This window comes from Homo sapiens, chromosome 7 (genome assembly GCF_000001405.40).
Source record: "Homo sapiens chromosome 7, GRCh38.p14 Primary Assembly".
Classification (NCBI taxonomy): domain Eukaryota; kingdom Metazoa; phylum Chordata; class Mammalia; order Primates; family Hominidae; genus Homo; species Homo sapiens.
This window is the reverse complement of record NC_000007.14, coordinates 36894596-36906737: the sequence shown is the minus strand read 5'-3', so window position 1 is coordinate 36906737 and position 12142 is coordinate 36894596. Positions and strand designations below refer to the sequence as shown.

Here is a 12142-nt window from a genome sequence, read left to right as displayed (position 1 = left end):
CATCATAGTTCACTTGCAGCCTGGGCTCAAGCGATCCTCCCACCCCAGCCTCCTGAGTAGCAAGGATTACAGACATGAGTCACTGCACCTGGCCTCACCTAAGTGCTTGAGTTTCTCAGCGGTGGACACTGGTCTGGTTATTCTCTCTGCTCCCAGCACCTCCTCACCCAGTGATTAGCACATATTAGTCTTGGTAAATGTTAGCTGAGCGAATATAGGCCTGAGTATACTTCTAATGCTTCTAACATAATACCAGGCATCAACAACTTATTAGAAAAAATGTAGACAATCAAGACATATGTATTGTTTCAATATTTCATTAATAATTCAGCTGAATGTATTTGAAAACTAAAATGGTGTTTTCAATTTCTCAACAAAGAATGGGCCACTTAAAATATGACACAGTTTGATCTGTGCTAAAAGGGTGAAAACATAATATTTTCTTGTATATATCACAGAATCTTGACGAGTAGGCTCTGAAGTTCAACTTTGTGGCCACTTCCACTGCCTGGTCTGTCTGTTGAGGCAAGTTCATGAACAGTTTCATTTTGGTTGATTGTACTCTCCTCCCAGGGTGATTTGCTGGAGTGGTCTTCGATTTCCTCTGAGTTCAGCAGCCTTGCCTGATGGCAGAGCTGGTTTATGGGAACCAGACCTGCTTTTCCTACCTCATTTCCCCTGTGGTCTTGCTTGAGCAGTCTGCTTAGGAAAAGTTTATCAAATCTCCTTTCCAGAGGGGCAGGTTTTCCCATTTCATTTGTCACTATTTAACAGCTTATGCAAAACAGGCTGGCAGTTCTAAGTTTGTGGGGCTTCGGGTTCTACCCTTGATATGAGACAATGGACTTTTCATTTATTTCTTTGTAGTAACTAATCTTAGAGGAGTTCAAGGCTAATTTATCTGTATCCACTGATATTCCTCTTCTCCATCTTCTGTTTAGCTCATTCATTCATTCACTCCACAGATGCTTATAAAACTGGTATTAAATACCAGAAACATAGAGATGAATTGGGTAAAACCCAATATTCATAGCCATTGAGGAGAGATCACCACAGTGACCACTGACTCCTTCTTTTCAGGCCATACCAATGAGTTGAGTGAAGAAGGGGCAGTGATTGAGTATCAGATCTGTTGGTAAACACCCTGAATGTTGAAAGGGATGCCTGTGGATATCATTTATTCATTAACAAAGACGATAAGGATTTGCTAACCATTCCTAGCATCTTGTTTTTTGGCATCATGATTGTGTAACTTGGAAAAGAAAAATCCATCCAGTCTCAGGTACTTCTTCAATGGAATTCCTCCCCTGATTTTGGGGAGCTCCTAGGGAAGTGAATTCACCATCCCCTCCCCACCAAGGACAGGCAGAACTTAGGTGCAAGAAAGCAGCACCCCAGGAGTTACTCCATGTAGTTTAGGAGACCTTCCATATGGGAGGGTCATTCCTTGTAACTACAGAAGGATTTGTAAAAGGCTTTGTTTTCACCCCATGTTTGGCAAAGTATGGATAAATTTGAACAGGCATTAGAAAAACCAACAGTAGCATGATTATTAAAAATTTGTAGCCATTTTCTCCCAATCCTGTTGGTGAAAGAGTTTTCCAGAAAAGAAACTCTATTTCTTTCTGCTTTTCCCCCACCGTGTCTCCTCAAGGTCACATGTTTGGAACTGACTTGCTTGACATGTTTATTTAAAGCTGTGGATTAAATGCCACCCACTAATGTGATTTGCTTGGGCTTTGCCTGAGGCAGGCTCCATTAGACACTGGTGAAAATAGCTTCCTGTTGTCCAGCCAAGTCCTTCGATTAGCTAACCAGCAAATTTAGCCCAATTGCTGTATTTCAATTTGACTCTCTATTTAAATGGAGAAAAGCAGCTTTGTCACATGGCTGTTTGCCTCTTGATCTCTCATCTCAAGAGCAGACTGCAAAGAGAAAGCGACGACCCCAAACCTCACCTTTTCTGTCTCCTCTTTTGGATCAGCTCCCTGCAGATGCTAAAGAAAGTGAGAAGGATGTTGCTTGCATAAACATTGTTCTTCAACTGAGCACTAATTGAGTTTAAGATGAATTGCTGGTTAACGTTTTTGCTTATTTATTTTTACCCATTATAAAGATGCCTTGAGCCTTAAATTAAAGTGCTTTCTCATGAGGTGCAGGGCAGTTATTCATGGCCTGTGTCTGAGTCTTAGGAGTGGGACAACACCCAGTGAGCACCTGTGCTGAACTGCAGGGTAAGACATTGCATAACTAGTTATTTAGGGGGCTAACACCAAGGCCCTCAACACTCCTGTTTTGGATTATGATCAGATTCTCAGGATGCTTGAAGCTGCCTGAGCACCGCTATCCCCTGCCATCCATTCCTGTTTCATTAGAAGCTGCAAATCCAAGCAAGGCAGTGGCAGCACTGGGAGCAGCTCCCTTCCCAACTGCTTCAGTGCCATCTGTTTGGCTCTCGAGGCACATTTGAAAAGTCACCTTTTATACTTTCATCACAGCCTGTCCTTAGGTTCTCCAGGCGCTGCCTGGACACTGCCAGCCACAAGCCTGCCTGCTCAGGGTGGGCACTCATTGCTGCCCAGCTCTGATGGAGATTCTGGGAACACTGACCATCACTGCTGCCCAAGGAGGTATGGGCTACTTTGGAAGATGTTGGCTGCCCTTGCTAAAGCAGGTCCCTACACAGTGCCTGATCCAGGTAGCCTGATGCCCTCCACATGCTTCTCACTGAGGCAGCCCAGGGGGAGTGGTCTGGCCTCAAGTAGCAGGTGGTGTCTGAGGGACCCGCCCAAGCAGGCTGAGAGCAGGCACAGTCCCCTGTCCGCCAATCTGACTGTCCCCAGTGAGAGTACCAATCCTATCCGTGCTGTCGGGAGCAGTTGAAGATCAAGCTTTAGGAAAACTGTGGGCAGTAACAAGCGGAGGACTCAGCTCTTTGGTTGGCATCTGTAAGTCACATTGGGCAGCACAGAGGGAAGGGTGCAGGCCCTTTCTCCCTTTTCGCTGGAACTGCAGTCATTCCTCCTTCCTACCTTCTTGTGCTGCCTAATTCGGACCAGTGTTCCTCCACCCTAGCTGTGCATGCACCTCCCCTGGAGAGCTTTGCAAAACATGACCCATGTCCAGAACCCATTCCAGGGTCAGAATCTCAAGGGATGAGGCCAGGCAAAGACATCCTGTGAATTGTATTATACAGTGAATGTTGAGAACTACTGATTTTAGAGGCTATTTCTTTCTGGTAGTCATTTGATGAGCCCATTATTCATAAATTAAACAGATAATTTCTCAATCATTACTCTGTGACTGGACTGTGCAGGCTCTGGAGATGAGATAGTAATAAAGGAGGGCACAGGTCATTACATTATGGTACAGTCAGTGCTATGATGGGACTGTGATGGGAGAATGGGGACAGGAACCCTGACTTTGGCTGAAGTGCAGCAGGTCAGGAAGAATGATAAAGGGTGGTAACATCTAGGCCTAGGCTTGACAAATGAGCAGGGGCTAGAAGGAAGGTAATAGTCATGGATAGGAGGAAGGGCAGGAATGAAGGCACAGGAGTGAAGTTCAAGCACTGAGAGAATCCTAGTGAGACAAGATTGTGGGGTGCAAGGGCTTGGCCAGGTAAGGACGTCTCTGTGAGATGGGCAGGTAGACGGCAATGCATTGGAGAGGCTGGCCTTCACCCAAGAGGCAATGCTGGGCCCCTGCAGGGTTTAAGCAGGTGAATGATATGATCAGCTTTGCATTTTGGAAATAAGCTGGCTGGAGTGAGGAGGAGCTGGAAGGGGCACAGTTGAAGTCAGAAGGTTGTTGGGTAAACCAGGAAAGGCAATAGGGCAAGGGTCCAGGGAGAGGTCAATGAGAATGACATGAAGTAGAAGGAACAGATATTCAAGAGGCAAAGTCAACATCCCACCACTCCTGAAAACTCTGATCCTCAGAGCAGAATTCCTGACTTTCGTCAACATGCAGGTTCCCAAGCTCAAGAAGTTTCATTATTTTGATCATTGCTACATCACTTGCCATCACTTACCAAAGACACCCTCAGAGTTACGGATGGTCACAAATCCAGGTATATGGCACCCAGAGAACAAGACTTGGGTTGTCAGTGGTTTGCATTCAAGAATAACTCAGGAAGAAGAAAACCAATAGAGAAAGTTTCAGTCTGCTGTGGACCATTATTTTTCTCATGGCACTTAACTTCGTTTTTGATGTGATGCCCCGTAAGCTTCGCATTGGTTGGGTTGTGAAATGCCATCCTACAGAGGAGGACTTACAAGGACCTCACTGCCCACATTAAGCACAGCACTGGCTTTGGCTCTAAATTAGGTCTCATCACCCCTTCAGACAGATGCTCACAGGAGCTTAGAGCTCAGAGGGCCATTAGGGACACACTGAAGAAACAGAGGCAGGAGAAGTTAATGACTTGCTGAGTTCTCTTGTTACTGGATGCCACGATTAGACCACACATCCTTTGTGAAATGCAGAGAAGCTTTTTTGCTTTTATTAATGAATAAAGTGTTTCAAATTCATCTGGTATAATTGAGGACACATGATGAAATTGAGAGGAGCCAGAGGTTGCACACTGGCTGAGCTGTGATTTCAAAGCAGTTTCTCTCCATTTACATTAAGGCTGACCCCACAGGACCCTAGACAAGGAGGCCCTTCACCAGGGGACTGCAGTGGTGGAACCACAGTGAGAGGTGAGGCAGAAAAGAGCAAGGACAGGCCAGAGCATCTTCCAAGCCCTGAAACCATTCAGGCAGAGTCGAGAATACCATTTGATGAAAACACCTCTCTTTAATCTGTCGGAACCGATTCTGTTCGATTTGTCCTGAATATAATCTTGAACCACCCTGCATGTATTATAAAACACCCAGAGTCATCTTGTGAAGATACGTAAGTTGTTTGCAAGCTGCGAGGGGATTATTTTTTTTTTGGATAAGATGTCTAGGACTGTGATTCAGAGGGAACCTTATAACATATTGGGTGCAATGCTCTACATCTCTTAATCCTAATTAAAGATTATTACCGCTACTTTATAGATAAGAAAACCAAGGTTCAGAGAAGTTGAGTGATTTTCCCAGCTTGTAAGTGACAGAACCAGACTTTGAAATGACTTCTGCCTAACTATAAAGCCAGGTGTTGTTTTCATTTTACACTAGGCATTGGCAAGCTACTGCTGCAGGCCAAATCCAGCCCACCACCTGTGTTTTGTAAATAAAGTTTTATTAGAACACAGCCATGCCCATTCACTTATATATTGTCTGTCATTATATAAGTTGCCATGGTAGGCTTGAGTAATTGCAGCAGACACTGTATGGCTCACAAAGACTAAAATACTGCTATCTGCCCTTAACAGAAGTTTGCTAACCCCTGTCTAAGCCTCATTGTCCTAAAATAAATTCAGAAACCTCAACTGCTACTCCTTCAGCCCAGACAGCACCTTTATTTTCTCTCTCCTTCATTTTAATATGCACGACACCACTCAGCAAAATGTCCTGCATGCATGGCCTGGCCTAGGTACTCCACTCCCTGATCTGGCAAAACTATAAAGTGAAACTATTTTGAGTTTCCGGAAGCTGACCCAATTTTAAAGACCTCTATATGGAGGTAGGCCAGGGAGGGATCAATAATTGTCCCTACCAGGTAAGCCATCAGTTTGTACCCTCACTTCTGACACTTTTTCTGGGCAAGGCCATTTCTCCACATTGTACCCTTAGAGTGTAGCCCCAAAGCGATCCCTGGCCTCTGGGAAATTATCCTTCCCACACATGAGCACTTAGGGTCTTCTTCCCCCAGACCCCTCTGCAGGCAGAATCTTTCCAATTCTTTGGTTGTTGTGAGCCTTCAGTCCTTTTGTTGTGCGTAAGGAACATTCCTGGGAAGAAAAATGGTCCAGCAATAAAGTCTCCCCCACATGAGTCATTTTTAGCTAGACTGGGTTGGCATCTGTTTTTCCTAAGACAGCCTTTTCTCGTCACTGTGAAGATAAATCAATTTAATGGACACCACTGGTTGGGGGTAGATTGTACTTTTTTTGTAAGTATTGACCACCCATTAGTGGCAGTGCCCAGCAGCATACACCATTGTACCTTCTCCAGAAACCCTCCACTTGGCTGTAGATCTATCCCCTTCCAACTCTGCCCTGGAAGCAAGCCCAAAATGACCTCTGGAGCCCTAAGATGCCATCCCACGGCCACGGGCTTTGTTCTTTGGCTTTGTGAAAGTGTGCTTTATAAACCTTGTTGGCAGACTCATAATTCTGCTAAGGACTTATTTGTTGTGTCAATCTACAGATCAAAGGTGGGAGCCTAAAAGCCTTTGACATTGCTCATACCAACCATATTACACTCTGGGATACATTGTATTAAGTACTATGGGCCATCATACAAGTAAGAAATAGTTCCTGCCCTCCAGGGACTTACAATCTAGACAGCATGAAATGTACACCAATAACTAGCTTCACTGCTTGCTGGTGATATGACAAGACTTGCTGGAAGTTGTAGATGCCATATGGAAGACTCAGAAGGGGTGCTGGATATTTGCTGAAATCGGTGGTTCTCATACTTGAGCATGCATTAAAATCACCTAGAGAGCTGTTAACACAGATTGCTGGGTGCCACTCTTAGCATTTCTGATTCAGTAGATCTAGGGTGGGCCCACAAAGTTGCATTCCTACCAAGTGGCCAGCTGATGCAAGTGTGGCCCAGGAATACCCTGTCCAAAATATTTTTATAGGAGAAGCTTCTTACATATGTAATTTCCTTCTGGGATTGTAACAGAACTGACATTTGTTGAGTGTCTAATATGTTCTATTCAGTATATTAGGTACTTTGGCTATAATATTTTCTTTAGATTTTACAACCCTGTGAATTTCGTATTATTACTAGCACTCTACAATGAGCAAACTAAGGCTTAGAAGGAGGAACTTACATTTGCCAGATATCCAGTATGTACCATAAAGGATGTGGGGCATTATCCAATTTAAAACTTTTTGAATTCTAAATGATTAGTACTCCTAGTTTAGGAGTGGTAAAAAAAAAAAAAAAAGATGAGTAAAGATAGTAAAAATGAGTCTGAGAGAGATTAAGTATCTTAAGGAAGGTCAAAGCCCCAGGAAACATGCATGCTGGATTCAAAATCACGTGTTGGGTTCTAAAGGCTGAGAAGCCATACTGCAGCTAGTACCTGTCTGTTTGCCAAAAGCTACTAATGTAGATTCCAAAAGCATGTTTTCTTTCATGCTTGAAGCATGTACTTCCTACCTCCTTGCCTTTGCTCATGCTGCTCCTTCTGCTTAGAATTCCCTTCTCCCTCTTCTTCACCTGAGTAACTCCCATTCATCCTCCAAGCAAAATGTTGTCTCAGCCATGCAGACTTCTGTAACATCCCCTCCTTGCCTCAACTAGAGCAGGAATAAGGACTACTTTGTAAGCGTCCCAACATACTTTATATTATCAAATTCCTTCACAGACCCCAAAGTCCTCTAGTGACATATCCTTGGTTACAGAAACAAAAAAATCCAAATTTTTCATTTTAGCCATCAAAGCCATCCCCCATCTGACTCAACTTGCCTTTCAACCACACCTTGCAGCTCCCTCATTTCTCCAACTAAACAAGACCGCTGAACACTTCCCCACCCATGGCTATGTTCTCCTTCCCCCTCCAAGCCTTCACTCAGGCTGCTGCTGTCACCAAGAATGGCCCCTCCCCTGCACCTCAGCCTGTCTGCATGTGGCCTTTCCACCAGCCCCAGCTAAAGCCCTGGTGCTATGCCCTCAGCCCTTTGGGAGGGCCTCCATGAGTGTTCATGGAGTGAACACCTGACCCCTTGCTCCCCTGTGACATCGCGTCTTCCCTTGGGTGAGGCAAGTATGTGTCTTTCCACTGTCCCAGGCTGAGAGCTCATCCGGCACAGGGCCTCCAGTGTCGCGTCATTCCTTGCACTGAGTAGGTGCTCACAAAACATTTGTTGAAGAAATGGATAAATGATGCTGGATGAAGGTTGTGGGTTAAAGGCAGGATGGGAGAAGTGATTAGACAAGGAGCACGTGGAGCCTCAGTACGTCTTGCAATAAAACACAGGAGCGCATTTACATGACCAACAGTGAGAGCAGGGGACATAGGTGGACTTTGCCAGAATGCTTGATTCCATTTAGGAACCTCCTGTGCTTGTACCTTTAACCCGGTCTTCCAAGGAGCCAAAAGGATTTCTCCATTTGAAGTACAAATGTCTTGTGGGACTCTCACTTTTTTTGTAATGTGTAACATTATTACAGAAAATATGGGCTAAGAAGACTTCAGAAACACACCACTGACATGGTCCAGACATCGATTGAATGATGGGGCAATACCAACAACAAATGCAGATTCTAAGAGCGTGCTTTCTTTGATGTCTGTGTTTAATTCCATTGATTTTCTGATGTCTCCGCAACACCGTCTGTGGGTTTTTCAAACAAATGGTAAAGGGTGTGATGTTTTCTAAAGAAGATAGAGTTAAGGATGGTGGTTGTGAATGTCTTGATTTGTGAATGTCTTGCACATGTGAAACATTAACAGAGACATAAAGCTATCAGTTGTAAACCTTGTAGCTAAATTGCAAAGGCACAGAGGAATGTTTGACTTATGTAACTCTTTTGTCTTCTTAAAAAATTTAATGATACCTTTCACAGAGGTTATTTTCCTTGACATGCAGAGTGACCATAGAACTTCTCAGGGCTGTTGGCAACAAAACTGTGAAGTGAAGTAGGTGAAGCTAGTCTTTGACTCCACCAACCTCTGTCCTGTGCTTTATACCCACTGCTTATATCCCTTCCTCTGGGGCCAGGTGCCTGCTTTTTCCTTCTGCCTATCAACCTAGTCTTAGGAAAAGTTCTATACTTTCTTCAAACTGAACTATAAGTGATTTGGGGAAAATTCAAAGGATTGCTCTACTTATGTATTCTTGCATCTAGCAAGGTTCAAAGTCTTAAGCTAGAGGAATGGGGCTCTAGGAGTGGATTTTAAGCCTAATCTATAAATAGGAGTTAAAGAGTTCCCCACATTCCATAAGGGATCATCATGATTTCCTTGCAGAGGTGCACCCATGAGCCTGTAAATGCAGGCGATTTTTAAAAGTCACTTGTTGAATTAACTTTGCTATTTCCATCCAGCTTCCTTCTCCTACTCCTCCCTTTCCCTGGACAATCTCAGCCCCACAGCTGGTCCTCCTCTTGGACTTCACCATATGTATTTGTTGGGATTCTTTGGTTGCACGTGACAGGAACAAACTATCATCCAAGCCATCTTACAAAAAAAAAAGAAAAGGCTCTTGTAACCAAACAATGAAATGCAGGGCTTGAGTCACCTTTACAGTTGAACAAGGCTTAACCATTAACACTCTTTCACACACACACACACACACACACACGTCTGTTTTCTTTGTCCTACTACTGACATTGGTCTCATTATCTTCCCCTTTCCTATATGTGAAGGGACATAGTCTCACAGCTCTCAATTTGAGGGAAAGAGAGCATGCTTCAGGTCTGCCTCAAGACGTGGCAGAAAAGTCTGGGGAAGGATTTTGATTGGTCAGTTCAGGTCACGTGCCCACTTAGGCCCAGTGCTGTGTCTAGGCAGATGTGGTGTAAACACCATCATCTCTGTGACAGCCCCTTAAGAAACACATGACATGAGGGAATCATCTTCTTCATCTGTAAAATGAGGGGAGTGGAGGTCACTCTATAACTCTTAGCTTTAACCTGATTCTATTTAAAAATCATATCTTCATTTTTGGTATTCTTTTCACTATATCTTTGTCTCTCACCATGTCCAGCCTCCCACAAGAAAGCCAGATATCATTGGGAAACAGTAATGATCTCCTTGGCTCAATTCTAAGTCTCTCTAAGTGGGCAAAGCAGCACCCCTATGGTGCCCGTCATATGATACAGCAAAGCATTATAGTTCAACCTTGACCAAATTTAATCATTTATGCCACATGATGTAAGATGATCACAATTTCCAAATTTGTCAAGCATCCCAAATTTGGCATTTTGCCTAAGTTAAAAAAAAAAAACAAACAAAAAACCAGCAGATCTGGTGAAAGATCAACTGGAAATTTGCCTGTATGACATTATGCTGGGGGCATGAAACAATGCTTATGCAGTTCGTTCCAATTCAGATGCAACCCAGGTTCAAAGCAGCTAATACACAGTGGTGTTCCAGATTATCTGTCTATTTCCATTCCCATGAAATGTCTTCAATGAAAAGCCTATCTACCTGCCAACAGAGTCCATCAGTCTGTCATCTCTATCATTTCTGCACTTCTATTATAATGATCCTTGGCCATGTCCACCTTTCTTATGAGACCATTAGTTCACGGAAGGCAAGAAATATATCATATGCATATTCGTTCAACATCAAATCTATGCCAAATCCATCTTCGTGGGTTGCTTGGGATCCTAGGATTCAACTACATATATGTGACTTGGGGCAAGTCATCAATCCTTTCTCAGTCGGTTTCCTTATCTTTTACATAGTGATACTAGCACCTCCTCCACTGTATTGGAGGGAGGATTAAATAAGGTGATAAACAGCAAACTGCCTAGCACAGAATTCAACATATAGCAGGGTGCATCTGTGGTTTGTCTTATTTTTAAGTTCCCAAATGACACGAAGAATGGTGGCATGGGTGGCAGCATAGTCGGGTGTTTACAATCCTGATATCCAGTCCCAGTTCAGCCACTTAATGACCAATGGTATGATTTTGAAGTTTCTTAAAGTTTCAAAGCCTCAGTTTCTTCATATGTAAAGTGGACTTGATGGTAATATCTACCTCATAGGTTTGAGTGGATAAAGAAAGAAAACATAGATAAAGCACCTACCACAGCATCTGGCACATAGATACCTATAAATGGTATCACTTGTTGCTATCACCTGTAATGGAGAGTGAAAAAAGAAGCAGCAAGCTCTGAGATGCTTCTGTGTTTTTTCTGGTCTTTTCGTGCTGTATGCGTCCTGATGAAGATGAACCCACATTAATAGAGGCAGTGGTTAATTGCCTCCTTGTGGGCTAGCACTGTCCTGAGGCAGAAAATTACAGTATTCTTCTTTTTTCTTGAAGCTTCCAGTGGGATATGTCTGTTCTAATTTAATAAACCTCTTTTTTTAGTGCCAGGCTCAAAGAGGCAATATCACATGTACATTTCCAAATGCGTAATTAGTATGAACACTCAAGCCCTAACTACATGGCGAAAGCAGTCTGGGAGAGGGGAGTGTGAGTATCTGTTCACATTCATTTGAACCAGCTCCAGCCAAACTTCCACAGTTAATTGTATCTCAGCGATTTTCTCCTGGAAAAAAATAATTACTATGCAGGGCTTTAGCTGCTGCTTGGCCTTCGTTCATTCCTGACTCTTGAGTTAGCATTGTTTACAGTGTTGAGTCAGCAGCAGTCACATAATGTGTCAAGCAAGTGGAGTACACCTCCCACCCTGAGCTTCCCCACCCCACCAGTTCCCTGTTATCAATCCATTTCCTTCCTTGTGTTCCAGCAATGCAAGAGAAAATGGAAGATGGGCATAATGGAAGTTGACTGTTTTGGAAAAGCATGCTCAAGGTTAATGCTGAGCATGCGTGCAGAGGGCACCAGGGAAGCAGGGAGCCCTTAACTCGGAAAGACTTTTCTGAATGGGAAAGGTCAGCCCCCAGGAAAATGATGGTCTTCCTTTCATCTTCAGGTAATGCAGGTGGTGAAGGAGCAGGTTATGAGAGCACTTACAACCAAGCCTAGCTCCCTGGACCAGTTCAAGAGCAAACTGCAGAACCTGAGCTACACTGAGATCCTGAAAATCCGCCAGTCCGAGAGGATGAACCAGGAAGATTTCCAGTCCCGCCCGATTTTGTAAGTTACCTAGTATTGACTTCTATCTCCCAAAAGACTCTAACCCACTATTTCTAGAATGACCGCCTGTCATGAAGCTGGGCTGTGTTGTGAGCTCCTCAGGGAAGGCCAGCAGAAGACATTCCAAGTATCTCCATTTAGTTAGGGGAGTCTCAGCAGCTCCTTGAGGAAGGGCTGGGCTGAGTGGAGTGGGCCAGTTGCTGGAAGAATGGATCTAAACCAGGAGCTGGCCCTGTTAGTGACAAGTCCTCCAGGGAT

The 12142-nt window shown here is 43.9% G+C and overlaps 1 protein-coding gene across 15 annotated transcripts in view; it reads left to right on the top strand.

The window, feature by feature from the left end:
• Positions 1–12142, top strand: part of ELMO1 (engulfment and cell motility 1) — a 596421-nt gene that overhangs the window by 542589 nt on the left and 41690 nt on the right. For all 15 annotated transcript variants that reach the window (NR_038120.2, NM_001206480.2, XM_011515654.3 and 12 more), the window contains one exon: positions 11721–11884. Coding sequence is in view for 14 of the 15 variants with exons in the window: in NM_001206480.2 (NP_001193409.1) it covers positions 11721–11884 (164 nt within the window). In the remaining variant the exon portion in view is untranslated. The remainder of the gene's footprint in view (positions 1–11720; positions 11885–12142) is intronic.